This window comes from Homo sapiens (genome assembly GCF_000001405.40).
Source record: "Homo sapiens chromosome 4 unlocalized genomic scaffold, GRCh38.p14 Primary Assembly HSCHR4_RANDOM_CTG4".
In the NCBI taxonomy this organism is placed as follows: Eukaryota; Metazoa; Chordata; class Mammalia; order Primates; family Hominidae; genus Homo; species Homo sapiens.
In genome coordinates this window covers 1-24550 of record NT_113793.3, presented here as the reverse complement: position 1 = coordinate 24550, position 24550 = coordinate 1, and the positions used below count along the sequence as shown (strand labels likewise).

General features: G+C 39.0%; 10 annotated features.

The window, feature by feature from the left end:
• Positions 2567-3149: an enhancer, noted in NCBI's record as "OCT4-NANOG hESC enhancer chr1:142556836-142557418 (GRCh37/hg19 assembly coordinates)". NCBI's record gives its function as "activates a minimal SCP1, AML or CMV promoter by ChIP-STARR-seq in primed H9 embryonic stem cells {active_cell/tissue: H9 hESC(primed)}" and the evidence as "EXISTENCE:reporter gene assay evidence [ECO:0000049][PMID:30033119]".
• Positions 6687-7188: an enhancer, noted in NCBI's record as "NANOG hESC enhancer chr1:142552797-142553298 (GRCh37/hg19 assembly coordinates)". NCBI's record gives its function as "activates a minimal SCP1, AML or CMV promoter by ChIP-STARR-seq in naive H9 embryonic stem cells {active_cell/tissue: H9 hESC(naive)}" and the evidence as "EXISTENCE:reporter gene assay evidence [ECO:0000049][PMID:30033119]".
• Positions 17017-17558: an enhancer, noted in NCBI's record as "OCT4-NANOG hESC enhancer chr1:142542427-142542968 (GRCh37/hg19 assembly coordinates)". NCBI's record gives its function as "activates a minimal SCP1, AML or CMV promoter by ChIP-STARR-seq in primed H9 embryonic stem cells {active_cell/tissue: H9 hESC(primed)}" and the evidence as "EXISTENCE:reporter gene assay evidence [ECO:0000049][PMID:30033119]".
• Positions 17559-18101: an enhancer, noted in NCBI's record as "OCT4-NANOG hESC enhancer chr1:142541884-142542426 (GRCh37/hg19 assembly coordinates)". NCBI's record gives its function as "activates a minimal SCP1, AML or CMV promoter by ChIP-STARR-seq in naive and primed H9 embryonic stem cells {active_cell/tissue: H9 hESC(naive and primed)}" and the evidence as "EXISTENCE:reporter gene assay evidence [ECO:0000049][PMID:30033119]".
• Positions 18131-18946: an enhancer, noted in NCBI's record as "OCT4-NANOG hESC enhancer chr1:142541039-142541854 (GRCh37/hg19 assembly coordinates)". NCBI's record gives its function as "activates a minimal SCP1, AML or CMV promoter by ChIP-STARR-seq in naive and primed H9 embryonic stem cells {active_cell/tissue: H9 hESC(naive and primed)}" and the evidence as "EXISTENCE:reporter gene assay evidence [ECO:0000049][PMID:30033119]".
• Positions 18947-19762: an enhancer, noted in NCBI's record as "OCT4-NANOG hESC enhancer chr1:142540223-142541038 (GRCh37/hg19 assembly coordinates)". NCBI's record gives its function as "activates a minimal SCP1, AML or CMV promoter by ChIP-STARR-seq in naive and primed H9 embryonic stem cells {active_cell/tissue: H9 hESC(naive and primed)}" and the evidence as "EXISTENCE:reporter gene assay evidence [ECO:0000049][PMID:30033119]".
• Positions 19763-20578: an enhancer, noted in NCBI's record as "OCT4-NANOG-H3K27ac-H3K4me1 hESC enhancer chr1:142539407-142540222 (GRCh37/hg19 assembly coordinates)". NCBI's record gives its function as "activates a minimal SCP1, AML or CMV promoter by ChIP-STARR-seq in primed H9 embryonic stem cells {active_cell/tissue: H9 hESC(primed)}" and the evidence as "EXISTENCE:reporter gene assay evidence [ECO:0000049][PMID:30033119]".
• Positions 21396-22211: an enhancer, noted in NCBI's record as "OCT4-NANOG-H3K27ac hESC enhancer chr1:142537774-142538589 (GRCh37/hg19 assembly coordinates)". NCBI's record gives its function as "activates a minimal SCP1, AML or CMV promoter by ChIP-STARR-seq in naive and primed H9 embryonic stem cells {active_cell/tissue: H9 hESC(naive and primed)}" and the evidence as "EXISTENCE:reporter gene assay evidence [ECO:0000049][PMID:30033119]".
• Positions 22212-23028: an enhancer, noted in NCBI's record as "OCT4-NANOG-H3K27ac-H3K4me1 hESC enhancer chr1:142536957-142537773 (GRCh37/hg19 assembly coordinates)". NCBI's record gives its function as "activates a minimal SCP1, AML or CMV promoter by ChIP-STARR-seq in naive and primed H9 embryonic stem cells {active_cell/tissue: H9 hESC(naive and primed)}" and the evidence as "EXISTENCE:reporter gene assay evidence [ECO:0000049][PMID:30033119]".
• Positions 23029-23844: an enhancer, noted in NCBI's record as "OCT4-NANOG-H3K27ac-H3K4me1 hESC enhancer chr1:142536141-142536956 (GRCh37/hg19 assembly coordinates)". NCBI's record gives its function as "activates a minimal SCP1, AML or CMV promoter by ChIP-STARR-seq in primed H9 embryonic stem cells {active_cell/tissue: H9 hESC(primed)}" and the evidence as "EXISTENCE:reporter gene assay evidence [ECO:0000049][PMID:30033119]".

Sequence of the window (24550 nt, the reverse complement as noted above, 5' to 3'; positions counted from 1 at the left end):
TGTGCTTCCCAGGTGAGGTGATGCCTTTCCCTGCTTTGGCTCATGCATGGTGCGCTGCACCCACTGTCCAGCACTCCCCAGTGAGATGAACCTGGTACCTCAGTTGGAAATGCAGATATCACCTGTCTTCTGCATCACTCACGCTGGCAGCTGTAGACTGGAGCTGTTCCTATTCGGCCATGTTGCCTCCATCCTCTAATTTTTAACTTTCAACTGATTAGATACATTTACCCTCTTCTGAATTTTAATTCCTGATGAAAAGATTGTGAAATCTCAAGAGGATAATGAATCAGCTTCTGATTATATTCTGGAATTACGATTTGATCACCCATCCAAGAATGCATATTCACTTTCCTTTACATTACACACGTGCATAATACCATGCTGAGTGATGCTGGAAAAAGTGAGTCTTCAGTAATGCCCTCATGAAATTACAGTCTCACTACACCGAAGTATTTTCTTTTTAACACTTTTTTTCTTTTCTGCTGTGAATATGTGCCTTCTAAGAGGTGAACAACTGGGAAAAACTGAAAAAGAACCTTCATCTAATTCAGTAACTAGCTTTTGTATCTTCTAAGAATTTTTATCTCCAGAAAGCTCTAATCTTCATTCCTTTACAAGCTTTATTTCTCTCTCCTTTCCAACACCAGACTTTTCTCTGTTTGTTTTCTATAACTTTTTTAGAGATGCCTACAATAGAAAAAAACTATGACATATTCAATGCATCTGAAAAGTTTGCATTGCCATAGATAAGAATGAATTATCTGTTTATAAAGAAAAAAACAATAAAAATATGAACCAAGAAAGCACAGAAGGTAGTAACCACATTTAGATGTTTATCATGGAATCATCTTTATAATCCATCTGTTACAATTCCACAGAGCAAATTACAAGTAATTGTGAAGTTTCCCCTCATTTTATAGGTTTGGTCTTATAAGGCATACAACACAAATTTTAATTACTTTTCTTTTTGGTATTTGGATCTTAATTTGGTGAAGTGGCCACTGGGTAGATGATGGAGCCTCTTGAGACATACAGTCTTCTTCTAGCTTTGTTGATGTAAATATTACGGTGTAGTTTTCATTCACTTATTATTTTACAAGGCATGCTTCATTAAAAACATGTCAGCATCTCATTGACAAATCACAAAATTTAAAAGGCACAAGAAAAAAACAATTTATTTGAAACATTCCTGTGTAAAAGTAGTCACCACTCTTACTATTCTTCAAATATTTTTATTATATTTAAACACAAGCCTAGTTTTATCTTGAGTGTCTCACCTTGGTGATATTGTACACTTTAAACTTAGAAAAAGTTGAACTCTATTGGAAATTTCCTACAGATCAGCTTTTCTAGATGCCAAGCACCTTGTTTCAGCTGTGGTGATGACAGCAAATTGGGTTCTCAGGGATTCTGGCCTCTGGCATCATCTCAGTTGTTTATAATTGAAGTTGGCTCTGATGAGAACTCAGCTTAGATGCATGGTTGGACTGCTGGGCTTAAGGCTGGCCTGCCAGGAGGTTGCATTGAGGTGTAACTAGGCAAAGAAAGAAGGAGTTTATTGAGGCACTACTGACAATAGCAAAGACTTGGAACCAACCCAAATGTCCAACAATGATAGACTGGATTAAGAAAATGTGGCACATATACACCATGGAATACTATGCAGCCATAAAAATGATGAGTTCATGTCCTTTGTAGGGACAAGGATGAAGCTGGAAACCATCATTCTCAGCAAACTATCACAAGGACAAAAAAACAAACACCACATGTTCTCACTCATAGGTGGGAATTAAACAATGAGTACACATGGACACAGGAAGGGGAACATCACACACCGGGGCCTGTTGTGGGGTGATGGGCTAGGGAAGGAAAAGCATTAGGGGATATACCTAATGTAAATGACGAGTTAATGGGTGCAACACACCAACATGTCACATGTATACATATGTAATGAACCTGCACGTTGTGCACATGTACCCTAGAACTTAAAGTAGAATAAAAAGAAAAGAAGGAGGTTGGGCAAAATTACCAACAATCTTCAACTATGAATTTTTATGAGTAGGGGCTTCCCACACCATCAAGCACTCCAAGTTGGAGAAACAAGGGATGTTGAATTGAAAGTTTAATTTTTTAGGCTTGATAGTCAGATTAGGGAAGTTTTGGGTACACCTTTCCCACTCTAGAGCCCTCTCCCTAACTCACGGCCAATTTGGGACATGGGCTCAATGGAAAAGAGTGCTGAGATCAATTAGAAATATCCTTCATGAACATAGGAGGCAGGCATTCTGGCCAAGGGGTGCGTCTTCCCACTTTGTAATCCAGAGTGCGATTTCTTCTTGCTATCTGTCCCTCCGTAAATAAGCTTTGGGTGAAGGACAAGGTAGTTACAACTGAGGATGGAATGAGATTCTAGCAGAATTGCAAAATGAACTGAGAGCCACGAAAGTGTTCCTCTGTGAACCAGCAGAGAGATCTGTGGAAGTCAAAGGAAGAGGAACCAAGAGGCCAGATAATATTCCTGCTTCCCCTACATTGTGAGAGTGAAATTATCAGCAACGTATATCAGTAACTAACCAGAGGCTTTTTGGAGAGTAAGACTTCTGATAGATACCTCAATAGCTGAAGTTGCTCTTCAGTACTGCACATAACCTGTGGACAGATTTTCATCATTATTAATTCATTTATTCAACAGATAGATATTAAATTCAAGGCATAGTTCTAAACTATGCAGTCAATTACAAAAAAATAATGAAGGGCATTAGCTGTGCCTCATAGGACGTTAAAACTCTAGGTGCTGAATGAGACAAATAGGGTTCCCACATCAAGTGCCTGGGCTCCTGTTATAACCTGGACTGTGCTTCCAATGACTTCTCTTGTTTCTGTTTTGGTAAACCCATCATTTGGCTTAGTCCCTATCCTTGCCATGCTCACCCACCAGTAGGTGGACCTCCTTGACCATAACTACAGGCATAGATCTTTGAGTTTCTTTTCAAATGTTTGCTTACTTTAGAGCTGCAGTCAAATGTTGTTTGGACCATAAGACTCTGAGGATGTGTGTGGTTGAAACTGTCTTGAGACTCAAAGAGCTATTGAGGAAGGGATTTGGTAGCTGAACTTTTTTGAAGTTTTTCTCTGTCTCTCACAATCTGGGTCTGAATAGCTTAATATATTGTTTAATTTCTACATCAATGATAGTTTAATAGGCATTCATGAAAATCAGTTCTGCTGGGAGTTTATTATCCTACTCCAATAGCAAGTAACGCATTCCTTAAATTTAGTGTACGTATAAATTCTACATGGTAAGTGAAGCTGTCTTTATGAATTGCTGCTATAGAATATACTAGATTGTGTAGGTTTTAGTACAATCCAGGTAATTATCAAGCCTTTGTAATATTTTCAGGAAAGTGATCCTTTCACTTCAGTTTATGGAACTTGGAAAGTTTTCGGTTGCCACCCACTTGTTAGATCATAAACTTAATTCTATTTGTCTGAATTTATTTTTCTATTTATAAATTTATCTGGATGTTTTCTCAAAGGTTTCCCAGATTAAAAACCTATGGCTTTGTAAAATTAAAACGGAAGTAATAAGAATTGTGTTAAAAAACAGAATCGGGCCAAGCATGGTGGCTTATGCCTGTAATGCCAACACTTAGGGAGGCCGAGGCAGGAGGATCATTTGAGGTCAGGAGTTCAAGACCAGCCTGGGCAACATGGCAAAACGCCACCTGTATTAAAAAAATACACAAATTAGCTGGCGTGGTGGTGAATGCCTTTATTCCTAGCTACTCAGGAGGCTAAGGCAGGAGAATAGCTTGAACCCAGGAAGCTGAGGTTGCAGTGAGTCAAGATAGAGCCACTGCATTCCAGCCTGGGTGAGAGAGTGAGATCCTGTATTAAAAAAAAAAAAGAAAAAAAGAAAAGAAAAATAAAGAAAACCAGAATCATACAATGAGAGAGATTGTATAGCCCTTTTAATTGTCCATAATGGATACATTTCTTTTTCTGTGTAATAGTTTATCAGCATGAAAATTTTCTTTTTCTGCGTAATAGTTTATCAGCATGAAAAACAAAGAGTCACTGAACACTGATAATTTTTTTTCTCTCTCTCTCTCATTTTTTCCTTTTTTTGGAGATGAAGTCTCACTCTGTTGCCCAGGCTGGAGTGCAATGGCAACATCTCTGTTCACTGCAACCTTCACATCCTGGGTTCAGGCGATTTTCCTGCCTCAGCCTCCCAAGTAGCTGGGATTCCAGGTGCATCCCGCCATGCCTGGATAAGTTTTTGTATTTTCAGTAGAGACGGGGTTTCATCATGTTGGCCAGGCTGGTCTCAAACTCCTGACCTCAAATGATCTGCCCGCCTTAGCCTCCCAAATTGCTGGTGATGATTTTCATTTAATGGTGTTCTACAAAGTGAGTTTAGGCAATGAAAGCGCACATGTCATCTATAGTTTACCAGAAAGTAGTACTGGTCACCAGCATTGAAGCATACTCCTAACACTGGAAAATTTCTTCAGCAGCCAGAATTAATCTCAGATTTCGAGACTGGAGCAAAGACTAATTTGGTATGTGTTCATTCAGATTAGTAAATCTCCATGGTGTTTGAACTGTATAATATCAAATCTAAAATAAGTCAAAAGAGTTGAACAATATCTCATCTCTGAGAAAAAAATGCATTATTTTCAACAGATTTAAGACTGAATTTAAAATCCAACTGCCTATTCCAGTGTTTGTTTCTCTAGAATAAGGCCAAGCCCTACAAATTCTGGATAGTGTCCTCCAAGTTGTATTTAAGTGATAATTGATAAATCTATGGTTTAGATACATATGGAATTCCATATAACTCTAGCTCCAGCCTTTGTGAGTAAAAATTGGCAGTGATCATGGCCTTAATGGGGGCATGTGGTTAATTGGAATTTTCAGTACCAAAAGTCGTCTTCTTACTAGTTTATCAGGGTACCCTATAATAGTATCCATAACTCATTGCCCACTTGTCTGTTTTGATTTCTTTTTTAAAAAGACAATTTTAAACTTAGAGGATTTGTACCTCAAGTCACATATGTGGCACATTTATAAAATAATCATGCCTTTGCATATTTTTCCTTTGATAACTTAGCTATATATCCAAGCCATTTATGTTTTTTAATTGCCACAAATATTGCACTGAAATAGAGCACTAGTTGCAAAAATGCCTGGTGTAACATTTCTTCTTGTTCTTGAAAGTTATTTTAATACCCCATGTTTAAGATATTCCTAGACAACTATATGTAACTATAATTATTTCTGCTAGGTAGAAACATCTTTGTGGTCAACATTTGTGAAGTGCCTTGTAAATAAAAATATGCTTGAGTTGAAATAGTATTTTGCAAATATAGCCCTAAATAGAGCTACTGATTTTACCAAGAATTAAAGACTCCAAACTCTGTCTTTGTCTTTCAAATTAGGTTTATAGGAACATCTCATTACAATGAGCCAAAAGCCTATCTGATCATTAATGAGATAATTTTGACACTTCAAATGACACAGTTAATTTGTAGTAGGTTTTTGAAGTGCAAATTACATGTTTCTGTTTAAATAATGACAGTAAAATATGGACACTATTCACACTCTATATACACAACTACAACTTGTCTCTAGAAGAAAAGTTTAATTTTTCAGGTCTCATCCACAAAATGAAGTGTTAATAAGCTGTATCTTTATTCTCATTTTTAAGTAATTTCTTCTTAACCATTGTATAACACTACCACAGTTTGTATGGAGATAAAATAACTCATGGTGAGAAATCCAGTTCTTTAAAAATCATTTTACCTTCAATCACTTTTAGGATATCTATGGTTTTAGAGTAAGGACGAAAATTTATAAACATTAGTTAAATTATGCAACTGTTTTTGAAGATGTTTCAAAATTACATTTTCCTTATTTTACAACTAGTTTTCATGTATTCACAAATGAGACACATGAGAATTATTAATGCAAAAGCACAGCATATCAACAAAGTTTATAATGTAAATAGTTTAGTTAGGAAAGAATGTAATGAGTGAATTATCAAAGCTATTTTATTGGTTCCTAGATTTACCATAGAAGAAAATAAAGCAGCCTTATAAAAATTTCTCAACACTGAGTCCATTTAAGGTCTATTTTGTATGCCGTAAGTTCTAAAAAATGTTATTGCCGGTAAAAATAGGATGCCTATCTAAAATTGTCTTTTTAAAGGTTCTCTCTTATTCTTCTTCCTTTCCTATGTGTGCACAGAATACTGTCATCATCTTGATTGGAACACTGTCTCTCTTTCTCAGAGGGTATACATTTGTAGAAGGGAGAAAATATTTGTTAATTTTGCTTCCTATAAGATAAGGTCTCAATGGTTGAAGGTCAGTTAACAAACATTTTTTTTTGTCTTCATACTATTATCTTGGAATTACCAACTGGCTTCTATTTACATTTTGAATTATGAAAGAAAAGAACTAGCATTTGTTAGAACTTACTGTGTTCCAGGAACTTTATTGATACCATTTCTTCTCATTATCACATTTGTTCTTTCAATTAGTCTTATTTTTTTCCATCTTAATAAGGTGGGACCAGAGGTTTTGTAATATCCACTAACCCACTGTGGATTTCATGGCTTGCAAGAGGAAGAAAGCATGGTGGAACTCAGGTTTCTCTGATTGCAAATTCACATCCTTTCATGTCTCCATGAAAAATAGAAAGGATAAATTGGGCTCTATTCTAACAAGAGAAACACAATTTTCCGACAGTTAAATGAATAATTCTTAAACCTCAAAAATAAAACGTAGCAAAACCTCAATTCAAGAGTAGACATAAAGGTTGTGGCATGGGTAGAAGGGACTTATGTCTAGTGACATAGATTTGCTATGCATATCTGACCAAAAATCCCCCTCATGATTTTCAAATCAGATGCATAACTGCATTTAATGAGTTTCACGAATCATTAATATCAGGCTCTGAAAACAGGATCATTAAAAATGATTAAGATTTTCAACAACAAAGATTTTATCTAAATAGTAAGGAAATTATATTAGATGGCTCCATTCCCTGGGCAGTCTAGTTAATAATTCAACTTGTTCAAAGCTATAAAATATGGCAACTTAAAAAATTATGAAAGTTTTTCTAACTTTTTCTTAAGGTAGTTGGCCATTCTTCCTCTTGGGAATAAGAAGGACAGATTTTCTGTCGAAGCATTTTGCTATTGCTTTTCAATTTCCATTTATGGAAAATAGATAATATAGCAATTTTTTAGTTATAAATTCAAAATGGAGATAATTAAGTATCTCCATTAATTAACTAAAGATTAATTTTTCAAAAAATAGCATTTACTAAATTCTAATCAATCGATTGACTATTTTTATCCCTGGCTCAATGTAACTCTCTTTGACATATTCTTGTCTTAATTCTAGTTTATGTCAACAATGTGTAATCATAGATGACTCTTTGCCATTTTGATCTCTCAGATCTATTAACACCTTTGATCTAACGATAATGTTTTCCAACAGAGTTATTTCTACTCAAACTTCTGAGATGAAATTTGTGGATTTATTCTCACCCCAATCAATTTTTCAACTCTCAGGACACCAAATGGTGTCCTACAATTCAATTCAATCCTGAGACTATCTATCTGGAGATAGCATCAGATCCCACAAGTTCAGGGTTCAGGCCCACAAGACTGCCCCCCCCCACCATTAGAGAGGAGTTGTGGGCCTGTCATACTCCTGACCAACTGGCTATAAATTAGGACTTCCATGGATTCCTTTCCCAGGTTCTATAATTTGCTAAGATGGCTCACAGAACCCAAGAAAGCACTTTGCTTACAGTTACTGTCTGATACAAATCAGGAACTGTCAAATAGAAGAGACACATAGGGCCAGGTATGGTGAAAAGGGGCACAAAGCTGCCATATGACCTCTAAGTATATCATTGTATCACCCTCCCAGCACCTCAGAGGTGATGGAGGAGAGGGCTGACAGTTTTAACCATCTAGTTATGCCTTCATGTTTCTGGTGTCAAGCACCCACCTTGAAGCCATATGGGTCTCCAGCCACCACTCATGTCATGTCAATAGCATAAACTCAGGTATGGCTAAGAGGGACTTATGACTAGTAAAGGATGGTCCTCTCATCTCTATCAGGAAATTTCAAGTTTTAGGAGCTCTGTACTGTGAACCGGGGAGGAAGACCAAATAAGACATACACTAGACCAGTTGTGCTAACTACTGTGTGCCTCAAAATTGCCTACAGTTGTGTTACAATAAGAGATTGCTGAGACCTGCTATTGGAATTTCAGATTTGGAAGATCTGGGGGTGTAACCTGAGAATATGCAGTTCTAGTAAGTTCCCAGGTGATGCTGTTGCTGCTAGCACAGGGACCACACTTCCAGAGGGACTGAGTGAAGCATCGTCGTTACTTATAATAACAACTCCTCTGTAGTCACAATTTCATTCATCCCATTCTCTGAACTCCTCCTTTAATCATTCCCTTTCATACGCTGACATAAAATTTTTCAATCTCTCTGAGACCTCCAAACTATTATTTTATCATATTCATAATGACCCTTACCTACTGATGTACTCTATTTCCTGTTCTCCTGCCTAAATTCCGTGGCCAACCATTCCCAGGAAACTTCAACTTCCTTGTTTCTCTTTCACTTTGCTGAATCTAACCAGGAAAATAACCCTGGTTAGATCCAAATTTCCACCAAATCCCCACATACATTTGAGCAACTAGCTATATGGATCAAATTGAAAAATATCCCACTTGAAACTGAGAATCTGAGTGCCGCCTATCAATCAATCATACTACATATGTTCCAATCTATTCACTCTCTAATTTACCTAGTTTTGTATCTTATCCTGTCTCTAATCCCTAGCACTTCCCCAGAAATCCTCAATGTCTTTTTGGGTGTGCTTCCCTGAGAACATTGAATCATCCAAAGACAACTTCCCCAGATTCCTGAAACCATTTAAACTCACTTTCCCATGTCTACACCCACATACTCTCCATTTTCACCTATTATTATCTGTGAAATAACTGGCCCCTATCTGTATATTGTCTGATGATGATTTCTATATTACAGGTGAAGAAAATGAGAATAGGGTTAGAGCTACTTTCTCATTATAGCATAGCTTAGAATCAAATCCACGCAGTCCACCACTGAAACTGGGGTTCCAAGTCAGTGTATTTGGAGAAGGAGAGCTAGTAGAAAAACAAGGATGAAAAGATCCAGGATGAAGTTTCTGATGGAAGAAAAGGACATTTTTACTATTATGAACTCCTTCAAGTAGACCTTAAGCATTCTCATCTAGACAAATATCCATTCATCCACTCCAGTGAGCTGATTAAGTTTTAGGATTTTAAGGGTCAGTGAACAATTATTACTCATTCAGCAATTAAAGAAGGATTAATATGAATATTATATTGGAGAAGTTTCATTTAAAACATATTTGATTGATTTTTGGCAATTGTCTTCTATCAGATCATTACCAATCCATATGAGTTGGTAGGAAGGGAGAAAACCCAAAACTTAACCAGATGCCTGAAGTTAGGGAACATTTTATAACCAACCCAGGGGGAAAAATGCTCAAAAGGGGAAAGATGAGGACAGAAAATACATTTCAAAGATTTTAACTTTTTGACAAAATGTCAATTCTGTGCAAGAAAAACTGATTGTGTGAATATAACTTTGTCATTTACATCTGCCAATGTGTTCAGAAATATTTAATTTATAAGTTTTTTTAATAGTAGTTTGTTACCACAAAATTTATTCATCAAAGTATCTAAAACATTCTAAAAATACTAAAAATTTTCAATTTAAAGATTAAGCTAAACAGCTCTGTATATATAAGTAAGCTCAAACAAACGTGCATGCTCCCCAACAATAACACTGCTACAGATATTGACTGGTGGTTTTGGTTTCATTTCATTTTATAATGGCAAATCTGGTTAAGACCCAGATTCTGGGCTGGGCGCAGTGGCTCACGTCTGTGATCCCAGCACTTTGGGAGGCTGAGGCAGGCAAATCACAAGGTCAACAGATCCGGACCATCCTGGCCAATATGGTGAAACCCCATCTCTACTAAAAAAACATACAAAAGTTAGCTGGGTATGGTGGCACGTGCCTGTAGTTCCAGCTACTTGGGAGGCTGAGGCAGGAGAAATGCTTGGACCTGGGAGGCAGAGATTGCAGTGAGCAGAGACTGTGTCACTGTACTCCAGCCTGGTGACAGAGAGAGACTACATCTCAAAACAAAACAAAATCCCAGATTCTGAATTGAATCTCACAATAAGGATCTCAATTGCCTCAAAGAGAATAAAATACCTAGAAATCCAACTTACAAGGGATGTGAAGGACCTCTTCAAGGAGAGCTACAAACCACTGCTCAATGAAATAAAAGAAGATACAAACAAATGTAAGAAACTTCCATGCTCATGGGTAGGAAGAATCAATATTGTAAAAATGGCCATACTGCCCAAGGTAATTTATAGATTCAATGCCATCCCCATCAAGCTACCAATGACTGTCTTCACAGAATTGGAAAAAACTACTTTAAAGTTCATATGGAACCAAAAAAGAGCCTGCATTGCCAAGTCAATCCTAAGCCAAAAGAACAAAGCTGGAGGTACGACGCTACCTGACTTCAAACTATACTACAAGGCTACAGTGACCAAAAGAGCATGGTACTTGTACCAAAAGAGAGATAGAGGCCAATGGAATGGAACAGAGCCCTCAGAAATAATGCCGCATATCTACAACTATCTGATCTTTGAGAAACCTGACAAAAACAAGAACTAGGGAAAGGATTCCCTATTTAATAAATGGTGCTGGGAAAACTGGCAAGCCATATGTAGAAAGCTGAAACTGGATCCCTTCCTTACACCTTATACAAAAATTAATTCAAGATGGATTAAAGACTTACATGTTAGACCTAAAATTATAAAAACCATAGAAAAAAACTAGGCAATACCATTCAGGGCATAGGCACGGGCAAGGACTTCATGTCTAAAACACCAAAAGCAATGGCAACAAAAGCCAAAATTGACAAATGGGATCTAATTAAACTAAAGAGCTTCTGCACAGCAAAAGAAACCACCATCAGAGTGAACAGGCAACATACAGAATGGGAGAAAAGTTTCACAACCTACTCATCTGACAAACGGCTAATATCCAGAATCTACAATGAACTCAAACAAATTTACAAGAAAAAAACAACCCCATCAAAAAGTGGGAGAAGGATATGAACAGACACTTCTAAAAAGAAGACATTTATGCAGCCAAAAAACACAAGAAAAAATGCTGTCACTGCCCATCAGAGAAAAGCAAATCAAAACCACAATGAGATACCATCTCACACCAGTTAGAATGGCAATCATTAAAAAGTCAGGAAACAACAGGTGCTGGAGAGGATGTGGAGAAATAGGAAAACTTTCACACTGTTGATGGGACTGTGAACTATTTCAACCATTGTGGAAGTCGGTGTGGTGATTCCTCAGGGATCTAGAACTAGAAATACCGTTTGACCCAGCCATCCCATTACTGGGTATGTACCCAAAGGATTATAAGTCATGCTGCTCTAAAGACACATGCACACATATGCTTATTGTGGCACTATTCACAATAGCAAAGACTTGGAACCAACCCAAATGTCCAACGATGATAGACTGGATTAAGAAAATGTGGCACATATACAACATGCAATACTATGCAGCCATAAAAATGATGAGTTTATGTCCTTTGTAGGGACATGGATGAAGCTGGAAACCATCATTCTCAGTAAACTATCACAAGGATGAAAAGCCAAACACCACATGTTCTCACTCATAGGTGGGAATTGAACAATGAGAACACATGGACACAGGAAGGGGAACATCACACACTGGGAACTGTTGTGGGGTGGGGGGAGGGGGGAGGGATAGCATTAGGAGATACACCTAATGTAAATGACGAGTTAATGGGTGCAGCACACCAACATGGCACATGTATACATATGTAACGAACCTGCACGTTGTGCACATGTACCCTAAAACTTAAAGTATAATAATAATAATTTAAAAAAGAAATGAAAACATATGTCCACACACACACAAAAAAAGAAAAAAATAAGGTTCTCAAAGAGGTCAATATGTATATAATCTATTCTTAAAAAAATTTTCTCCAATTGTTTATTGAAATATCACACAGGCTCTGACTTTATTTATACCCTTAAGAAGTACGTAGATTTATGTGTAGCTTTTGTAAAGTGAAAACTCAGAATGTCTACTCTGTTCTGGTACCACTTTAATTGTTGGAAAATATTTAATAAAAATGAATTACTCAACAAATGGAAAATTTGAACTTTGCATACTAAATTTTTACTTCTTATTATCAACTCTTGAAAAATAAGTGTGTCTGTTAGAAATGACACTCATTTGACTATACCATAATGTATTTCAGACTTTTTATCTTCAGCTACAGAATTTCTCCGTCCTTTGAATTATGTTAGCGGGCTTTATTTGGCCAGTATTGGTGATCCACCTCCACTAATTCGCAACTCTATTATCTTACCCCCAGGGATGCATTTCCATAGTTCTGCCTTGTTATGAGTGTCATTTTTTTCTTCTGTTTTGTTGACTGCCATTCAAGTAGTTTTGGCTTTATCAGAGATTTTCACTTTATTGTTTATCACCTCCTCATTTTTTTTAGCTTCTCATAATTTACTGTATTATATCTACCTGGGCTTTTGGTTCCTTTACAGATTTGTTTCATTTTATTTTTAGCTTATGATACTTCTAAAGTCTGTACCCTTTTAATTTTCACTTGCTTCATCGTCACATTCTTGTGTTTTGTTTTTATTTCAAAATACCAGAAAGTAGGATGTCTCAGCATCTTGGTGAGTGGAATAGTTTATTTATAATCCAAAAAAACCCCATACTTTTTGTGAGCTATCTGCTTCTGAGTAAAAATTTTATATAAAAATTCTTGAAAAAAAATCTTAAACTTCTGAAGGATTGAATGAGATTTTAAAAATCATTCTATACAACAGGTGCAAAATTTTTATTCCTCTACTCAAGAGAAATAATGAACATTTGTTATTCCTTTACTAACATCTAAATGTTAATGTATTCAATTATACATTATTAAAACACGATTAAGCTTAAGAGGTGGAAAAGTATAAAACAAACAAGTGTATAATTTACCTTTATTAATATGAAACATCTTTTTCTCTCCTGAAAATAAAGATTAACCAGTGGTGTGCTGAGGCGGGAGGGGGTGTGTTGGAGGGAGAAAAGCCATGATTTACCAATTTCAGCACAAAAATGAAAATGGTTATTAATCTTTACTAGCTCCAGAAATCTTTTAACACATATTGAAATCTATTGCCCTTAAAAAGAAAACATATATATAGATTTTTACAAAACTTTGCAGTTCCACTCATGGATCCCTGTGTAAGAATCGCTTTTCTATGTGTGTTTGCAATTTCAAGAGTTCAGACTTTATGATTCACAGGTGACAACTCATGATTTAATCTGAACACTTAGGCTTTTATAATTTGGGAGTCAGGTGTTTAACTGCTGTAGTAGTAACTGCTTCTTCTCAGAGAAACTTAGTAGCTAAGACCAGGAAAATATCCCTTGGTGTGCAACACACCTCTTCTTTCTGAACGTACCGTATAAGACGCTAACTTTGTCTCAAAGTTTATATGACTTTTGCATTTGCATTACTAGCTATTTTCTTTTGGAACTGTAGGACTTGGAGACCTTTCCCTCTACCCTCTGAAGGTATGATAACTGAGTCTATTGAATAAATGGATAACAGGCATGTCAAAAGAAGAAAATGTGTACACATTTATTACACGCATGGGGGAATCACAGGAAAGAAAAGTGGAATCAAAAACAAAACAAAACAAAACAAACAAAACACCACCAAGAAAAAACCCCAGTGAGATTTAGGAGCTTGTAGGGAAGGCAGGAGGAAGAATGTAGGAAACTTAAGGGAGAGCAAATGACTTTTGGGAAAGATGACCAGACCCCTAGGAGCATAGATGATAGTTTGTGGCAGTGTGCCTTGGTGTGGAATGGACTCTTAGTCTTGTCTCCTGTGATATGAGGAGTCAATTTTCCCTGGCTGATGAAACTCCTAGGAAGGAGATGAATGTCTTTGTGCTGACAAGACAGTATCTTGAAGCTTTGTTTTCCAATTCAGTTCTAAATCTGCAGTGTATAAAAATCTCCTCATCATGCTTTGGATGTTATGGTAGATAAATGGTATCTTTACAAAGATACATTCATTCTGGTATTGAAAATTCCTTTTGGAGGATCTCTCTTGAGGAACGTAAAGGGAGTGCAGAGAAAGCATGTTCCACAGTTGTTATTTTTCAAATATTTTCAGTTCAATGTAATCAGTACACCAAAGCAATCCATTTAGGACTGGCATTTCCTGAACACCTTCAGAACTCTTTTTATCCCATGTTATTTCTATGAGATCACGTGATTTAAGAACAACTTTTACTTGCCACTTACATATATATTGAAAAGGCAAACTTTCCTTTCATAGTTTCCTAATTTTGGCAAAGTACTTTAACAAAAGTTAAATTAAGTGAGTAAGTGAAATTTTCTGTTCTATTGTTTTGAAAACAATTCTAGAAACTGTCCTTGTAAGAACAGCAAAAAGAGAAAAAGATAATTCTCAACTGCAGCTTCAACTACTCTTTGCGTAACAATGTATCTAATTAAAAGGCAAAACTCTCTATTTCAGGTTTATATGTATCAATTGCTTGATTAGAAAGTAAATTATTTACCCCACATAATCTGGTGTCAAAAAACTTATAACAAAATTACTTTGATTTTATTGCTTATAAGTTTGTGAATTTAAATATCAACTGACAGTGATGAATTTATTTGCTTTGTGCTGACAAGACAGTATGTTGAAGTTTTGTTTTCCAACTCAGTTTTAAATCTGCAGTGTATCAAAATCTCCTCATTATGCTTTGGATGTTATGGTACATAAATGGTATCTTCACAAAGATATATTCATTCTGGTACTGAAAGTGCATACTTAAAATTCTTCATGAACAGTTTTATTGAAAAAAATATGTAGACAAGCCATTAATTATACACAGTGATCTGGAACAAATTCTTACAAGAAGCCTAGCATGTCTTCCATTAACTGTATACAATTTATAAAAAGTTACTGAAAGTCTTCCTGAGGTTAAACAATAAATCTTTTAAATTTAATCACTGTGCTCCCTCAAAGGTAATTTTTTCTTTATGACACTCAGGGGATACAGTCAGATCTCAGCCTACTTTAAACAACTAGGCAGTATTTTTAGTGCACTTTTCTGTTTGTTAAAAAGCTAGTTGTCAAGAATAAGTTGCTCAATTATCTTCCTCAATTACTTTTTATTTTGTTTTGTAATTATTATTCTATTTTGGTTTTCCTTTAGAATTGTGGACTATCTTGAATCAGAAATTGCAGAGAATATATAAATAAGTAAGAATGCACTCTTCAATCAAACTAGATCTCGAAAGTGTTTTGTTGTAGTTTATACCTTGATTTCGAAGGCCATTCTATACAGGGCACTTGAAAAATTTTCAAGCTCTTATATTTCATAATAGTACAGAATTTATTGTTCTTTTATTTGCAAGGAGATAGACCAGATAAAATATCACTTTATTTTTTACAGTGTTGACTTTGATATTCTAAACTTGTCAGTTTATACAGATTAATGAAGACTCCATACATGTAAAATTCACTATAATTTTTTTTCTAGTATGACAGTCCAAACAAATAGTAACTACATACCCAAACAGGTAAAGTAAAAATATACAATAGCTTGACAAAAAAAAAGAAGAAAAAAGAAACCCCTATACATTCCTTAACATTCTAAAACTCTGAGGACCAAATTGGATTCAAAAGAAACATTTCTGGTGGGCAGGGAAAGGGCTAAAAAGCTAAAGTATATAATAAGTAAATTCCTCATTGCTGTAACATATATGACCAGCATGACATTTCAATACATGTTCAAGTTTTCTGAAAAAAGTTCTAGGATAATAGGATTTCAACTTTTGATTCTACAGATATCATTCTTGTGATTGGTATGGTAGAATCATCCTCTTCATGTATTAGAGGATTCAAATGAAAAAAAATCAGGCAGCTAGTTCCTTTCCAAGAAGCCTTAGAGATTGTTGTACATAAAAATATGAACCATATTTCTGATTCAAATTTTAATTAGAGAATTCTCTTTATTCCCTCTTCTGCATAAAATTATGCACTTGCTCTCTGCTCTCCAGACAAGTAAAACTTCTTACCTGCTATAATTTGAGATAATCAAGACTCAGAACATATTATCTCCTAGCTGAAAGTCCCAATAAACTTCTCAGGACAAAAACAGCAAAAAGTTAAATATGCAGAGATAGAGTATAAAACAGTGGTTACCAGGGGCTGGGGGTGAGAAGAGAAAATGGAGATAGAGAATTCGAAGGATGCAAAGTTGCAGATATGTAGAATTAACAAATTGAGGGATCTAATGTACAACATGAGGACTGTAGGTATTAATATTTATTGTATATGGCATTTAACTAAAAGGGTAGTTTGTAGGTACTCTTTCCTCACACACATATCCAAAAGAAAGGTAACTGAGATTTTCAAAGGGAATGCTTTCAGGTTTTGCCCATTCAGTATGCTATTGGCTGTGGGTTTGTCATAAATAGCTCTTAATATTTTGAGATACGTCCCATCAATATCTAATTTATTGAGAGTTTTTAGCATGAAGGTTGTTGAATTTTGTCAAAGGGCTTTTCTGCATCTATTGAGATAATCGTGGTTTTTGACGTTGGTTCTGTTTATATGATGGATTACGTTTACTGATTTGCGTATGTTGTACCAGCCTTGCATCCCAGGGATGAAACCCATTTGATTATGGTGGATAAGCTTTTTGATTTGCTGCTGGATTCGGTTTGCTAGCATTTTATTGAGGATTTTTGCACTCCACTCCACTCCACTTCATTCCATTCTATTACATTCCATTCCATTCCATCTCATTTCATTCCATTCCCTTCCACTCTACTCCACCTCATTCCACTCTACTCTAGTCCACTACACTCCATTCCATTTCATTCCAATCCATTCTATTACATTCTTTTATTTCTTCAGGAACTCACTCCGTCACCCAGGCTGTAGTGAAGTGGCACAATCTCAGCCCACATTTCATTTCACCGTGCCATTCCATTCCATTCCATTCCATTCCATTCCATTCCACTCCACTCCACTCCACACCACTCCACTCCACTCCACTCTACTCCACTCCACTGCATTCCTTTCCATTACATCCCATTCCATTCCTCTTTATTCCACTCTACTCCACTCCACTCCACTCCACTCTACCCCACTCCATTCCATTCCACTCTAATCCGTTCCATTCCTTTCTTTCGATAGAATCTCACCTGTCACCCGGGATGGAGTGCAGTGGCACAATCGCAGCTCACATTTCATTTCACCATTCTATTCCCTTCTATTCCATTCCATTCCATTCCATTCCACTACACTCCTCTCCACTCCATTCCATTCGATTCCAATCCACTCAACTCCACTCCACTCCATTCCATCCCATCCCATTCCATTCCACTCCATTCCACTCCACTCCACTCCACTCCATTCCATTCCACTCCATCCCATCCCATTCCATTACATTACATTCCACTCCACTCCACTCCACTCCACTGAATTCTACTCCATTCCATTCCACATCATTCCATTCTATTCCTAATTCTATTCCATGGCATTCCATTCCATTCCATCCTTTCCAATTACACTACATTCCACTCCATTCCTCTCCTCTCCATTCCATTCCATTCCATTCCATTCCATTCCATTCCATTCCACTGCACTCCACTCCATACCATTCCATCCCATTGAATTCCAATCCACTCCACTCCACACCACTCCTCTCCATTCCATTCCGTTCCACTCCACCCCATTCCATTCCACTCTGTTCCACTAGACTCCACTCAAATCCAGTCCCCTCCACTCCACTCCACTCCACCCCACTCCATCCCATTCCATTCCCCTCCATTCAATTCCATTCATTTCTTTTGACAGGATATCAATCTGTCACCCAGGCTGGAGTGGAGTGGCACTATCTCAGCTCACATTCAATTTCACCATTCCATTCCATTGCATTGCATTCCATTCCATTCCATACCATTCCATTCAATTCCATTCTAACCCACTCCAGTCCACTCCACTACACTCCATGCCATTCCCTTCCATCCCATTCCATTCCACTCCATTCCACCCTAATCCACTGACATTCACTCCATCCCACTCCACTACATGCCATTCGATTCCATCCTATTCCATTCCACTCCGTTCCACTTGACTCCACTCCACTCCACTCCAATCCACTCCACTCCATTCCATTCCACCATATTCCATTCCATTCCTTTCCTTTGACGGGCTCTCACTGTGTCAAAAAAAGGCTGGAACACAGTGGCACAATCTCAGCTCACATTTTATTTCACCATTCCATTCCATTCCATTCCACTCCATTCCACTCCACTCCATTTCCCTCAACTCCACTCCACTCCCCTCCATTCCATTCCATTCCATTGCATTCCACTCCACTTCATTCCACTGCAATCCAGTCAAATCCACTCCATTCCAATTCACTCCACTCCACTCCACTCCATTCCAGTCCATCCCATTGCATTTTACCTCATTTCTCTCCACTCCACTCCACTCCACTCCATTCTATTCCACTCCTTCCCATTCCCTTCCACTCCATTAAGCTCCATTCCTCTCCACTCCACTCCAATCCATTCCATTCCAGTATAATTCACTCTCTTACATTCCATTAATTTCTTTCAACAGGATCTCACTCTGTCACACAGGCTGGAGTGCAGTGGCACTATCTCAGCTCACATTTAATTTCACAATTCCATTCGATTGCATTCCATTGCATTCCACTCCATTGTATTCCATTCCATTCCATTCCATTCCATTCCATTCCATTCCATTCCATCCCATTCCATTGCACTCCTGTGAACTCCACTCCACTCCATTCCATTCCATCCCATTTCATTCCACTCCATTCCATTCCAACCCACTCCACTGCACTCGACTCCACTCCATTCCATTCCATTGCACTACTGTGAACTCCACTCACCTCCACTCCACTGCACTCCAATCAATCCATTCCATTCCATTCCATTCCACACCTTTCCATTCCATTCCTTTCCTTTGACAGGATCTCACTCTGTCACCCAGGCTGCAGTGCAGTGGCACAATCTCAGCTCATATTTCATTTCATCATTCCATTCTATACCATTCCATTCCTATCCATTCCATTCTATTCCATTACACTCCAATCCACTCTACTCCACTCCACTCCATTCCATTGCATTCCATTCCATTCCACTCTACTCCACTACTCTCCACCCCACTCCACTCCACTCCATCCCATTCCTTCCAATTCCATTCCATTCCACTCCTCGTCCCTCCACTCAACTCCATTCCCCTCCACTTCATACCATTCGATTCCATCCCATTCCATTCCATTCCACTCCACTCCACTCCACTCTGCTCCACTCCACTGCACTCCATTCCATTGCACTCTATTCAATTCCATTCGACAGGATCTCATTCTGTCACACAGTCTGGAGTGCAGTGGGAGAATCTTAGCTCACATTTCATTTCACTATTCCATTCCATTCCCCTACACCCTTCTCCACTGCACTCCACTCCACTCCATTCCACTACATTACATTACACTCCATTTCACTCCATTCCACTCCATTCCAATACACTCCACAACATTCCATTCCATTCCATTCCATTCCATTCCAATTCCATTCCATTCCATTCCATTCCATTCCATTCCATTCCATTCCACTCCACTCCATATCATTCCATCCAATTGAATTCCAATCCACTCCACTCCACACCACTCCTCTCCATTCCATTCCGTTCCACTCCACCCCATTCCATTCCACTCTGTTCCACTAGACTCCACTCAAATCCAGTCCCCTCCACTCCACTCCACTCCACCCCACTCCATCCCATTCCATTCCCCTCCATTCAATTCCATTCCTTTCTTTTGACAGGATCTCAATCTGTCACCCAGGCTGGAGTGGAGTCGCACTATCTCAGCTCACATTCAATTTCACCATTCCATTCCATTGCATTCCATTCCATTCCATTCCATACCATTCCATTCAATTCCATTCTAACCCACTCCAGTCCACTCCACTACACTCCATGCCATTCCCTTCCATCCCATTCCATTCCACTCCATTCCACTCCATTCCACCCTACTCTACTCAAATTCACTCCACCCCACTCCACTACATGCCATTCCATTCCCTTCCATTCCATTTCACTCCATTTCACTGGACTCCACTCCACTCCAATGCACTCCACTCCAATCCAATCCACTCCGTTCCATTCTACTCCATTCCATTCCACCCCATTCCATTCCAGTCCTTTCTTTTGATGGGATCTCACTATGTCAAAAAAGGCTGGAACACAGTGGCACAATCTCAGCTCACATTTTATTTCACCATTCCATTCCACTCCACTCCATTCCCCTCCACCTCCCTCCACTCCCCTCCATTCCATTCCATTCCACTCCACTCCATTCCACTTCAATCCAGTCAACTCCACTCTACTCCAATTCAATCTACTCCATTCCACTCCATTCCATTCCACTCCATCCCATTCCATTCCACTCCATTACGCTCCATTCCACTACACTCCACTCCACTCCATTCCATTCCATTCCATCATACTTCACACCCTTACATTCCATTAATTTCTTTCGACAGGATCTCACTCTGTCACACAGGCTGGAGTGCAGTGGCACTATCTCAGCTAACATTTAATTTCACAATTCCCTTCCATTGCATTCCATTTTATTCCATTCCATTGCATTCCATTGCATTCCATTCCATTGCATTCCATTCCATTCCATCCCATTCCATTCCGCTCTTGTGAACTAAACTCCACTGCATTCCATTCCATTCCATTCCATTCCATTCCATTCCACTCCACTACACTCCAGTGTATTCCTCTCCATTCCATTCCATCCCATTCCATTCCACTCCCTTCCACTATACTCCACTCCACTCCACTCCACTCCACTCCACTCTATTCCATTCCATTGCATTCCAGTCCTTTCCATTCCATTCCTTTCTTTCAACAGGATTTCACTCTGTCACCCTGCTGGAGTGCAGTGGCACAATCTCAGCTCATATTTCATTTCATCATTCCATTCTATTCCATTCCATTCTTTTCCATTCCATTCAATTCCATTCCACTACATTGCATTCCACTCCACTCCACTCCACTTCACTCAACTCCACTCCATTCCATTCCATTCAATTCCACTCCAGTGTACTCCATTCCTCTCCACCCAACTCCACTGAACTCCATTCAGTTCCATCCAATTCCAGACCACTCCACTCCTCTCCACAAAACTCCACTCCACTCCCCTCCACTTCATTCCATTCGATTCCATCCCATTCCATTCCATTCGACTCCACTCCTCTCCACTCCGCTCCACTCCATTCCGTTCCATTCCTTTCTACTCCGTTCCATTCCACTCCACTCCACTACATTCCATTCCACTCCATTCCGCTCCATTCCTCACATTCGACAGGATGTCACTCTGTCACCCAGTCTGGAGTGCAGTGGCAGAATCCCACCTCACATTTCATTTCACTATTCCATTCCATTCCATTCCATTCCACTCCACTTCACTGCACTCCAATCCACTCCATTCCATTCCATTACATTCCACTCCATTCCACTCCAGTCCACTCTATTCCACTCCACTCCACTCCATTCTATTCCATCCCATTCCGTCGCATTCCATTCCACTGCATTTCACTCCATGCCACTCCACTTAATACACTCCATTCCATTCCACTCCATCCCATTCCATTCCACTCCATTCCACTCCACACCACTCCACTCCACTCAGCTCCACTCCAATTCATTCCATTCCATTCCTTTCTTTTGACAGCATGTAACCCTGTCAACCAGACTGGGGGGCATTGGCACAAAATCAGCTCACATTTCATTTCACCACTCCATTCCAATCTATTCCATAGCATTCCATTCCATTGCTTTCCGCTGCATTCCATTCCATTCCATTCCATTCCACTCCACTCCATTCCACTCTACTCCACTCCAATCCAGTCCACTCCATCCAGTCCACTCCACTCCACCTCATTCCATGGCATTCAATTCCATCCCATTCCATTCCACTCCATGCTAATCTACTCCACTCCAATCCACTCCTCTCTACTCCACTCCATGCCATTCCTTTCCATCCCATTCCATTCCACTCCATTGCACTCGACTCCACTCCACTCCACTCCACTTCACTCCATTCCATTCCATACAATTCCACTCCATTCCATCACATTCCTTTCTTTCCATAGGATCTCACTCTTTCACAAAGGCTGGAGTGCAGTGGCACAATCTCAGCTCAAATTTCTTTTCACTATTCCATTTCATTCCATTCCATCCAATTCCTTTCCACTCTATTTCACTCTAGTCCACTCCACTCCATTCCATTTCACTCCATCTCATTCCAATCGACTCCATTTCACTCCAGTCCACTCCACTCCACTCCCCTCCACTCCACTCCATTCCATTCCATTACATTTCACTCCATTGCATTCCATTCCTTTCTTTCGACAGGATATCACTGTGTCACCCAGGCTGGAGTGCAGTGGCACAATCTCAGTTCACATTACATGTCAACTTTCCATTGCATTGCATTCAATTCCATTCCATTCAATTCAATTCCATTTCATTCCACTTCTTTCCACACCACTCCACTCCACTCTACTCCACTACATTCCATTATATCCGATTCCATTCCACTCAATTCCACTCCTCTCCTCTCCACTGCACTCCACTCCTCTCCATTCCACTCCATCCCATTCCATTCCGCTCCATTCCACTCCATTCCAATGAACTCCACTCCACCCGACTCCACTCCACATCATTCAATTCCATTCCATCCCATTCTACTCCTCGCCATTCCACTCCACTCCACTCCACTTCACTCCACTCCACTCCACTCCAGTCAACCCCATTCCATTCCATTCCATTCCATTCCATTCCACTGCATTCCATTCCATTCCTTTCTTTCGAGACTATCTCTCTCTCTGACACATCCTGGAGTACAGTGGCACAATCTCAGCTCCCATTGCATTTCTCCATTCCATTCCATTCCATTCCATTCCATTCCACTCCACTCCATTCCATTCCATTCCATTCTACTCTACTCCACTCCACTCCACTCCAATCCATGCCACTCCACTCCTCTCCATTCCACTGCACTCCACTCCTTTCCATTCCATCCCATTCCATTCCACTCTTTCCACTCCACTCCACTCCAATCCATTCCATTAAATTCCACTCCATTCCACTCCATTCCATTCCATTCTTTTCTTTTGACAGGATCTCACTGTGTCACCTAGGCTGGTGTGCAGTGGCACAATAACAGCTCACATTTTATTTCACAATTCCACTCCATTTCATTCCATTCCACTGCACTCCACTCCACTCAATTCCACTCCACTCAACTTCAATCCATTCCATTCCATTCCATTCTAATCCCTTCCATTCCACTCCTTTTCTTCGACAGGATCTCCCTCTGTCACATGCTGTAATGCAGTGGCACAATTTCAGCACGCATTTCTTTTCACCATTCCATTGCATTCCATTCTATTCCACTCCACTCCCCTCCACTCCTTTCCACTCAACTCCACTCCATTCCATTCCACACTACTCCACTCCACTCCATTTCATTCCATCCTATTCCATTCCACTCCTTTCCACTCCATTCCACTACATGCCATTCCAGTCCACACCATTCCATTCCGATATTTTCTTTCGACAGGATCTCACTCTGTCACCGAGACTGGAGTGCAGTGGCACAATTTTAGCTCACATTTCATTTCACCTTTCCATTTCACTCCATTCCATTCCATTCCATTCCATTCCACTCCATTCCATTCCAACCCATTCCATTCCATTTCTTTCCTTTGACAGGATCTCACTGTGTCAAAAAAGGCTGGAATACAGTGGCACAATCTCAGCTCACATTTCATTTCACCATTCCGTTCCATTCCATTCCATTCCGTTCCACTCCATTCCACTCCACTCCAATCAAATCCACTCCACTCCACTCCACTCCACTCCATTACATTCCATCCCATTCCATTTCACTCCACTCCTCTCCACTCCACTCCAGTCAACTCCATTCCATTCCATTCCATCCCATTCCATTCAACTCCATTACAATCCATTCCACTCCACTCCCCTGCAGTCCATTCGATTCCATTCCATTCCATTTTACTCCATTCCATTCCATTCCTAACTTTCTACAAGATCTCACTGTGTAACCCAGGCTGGAGTGCAGTGGCACTATCTCAGCTCACATTTAATTTCACCATCCATTCCTTTGCATTCCATTGCATTGCATTGCATTGCATTCCATTCCATTGTATTTCATTGCATTCCATTGAATTCCATTCCATTGAATTC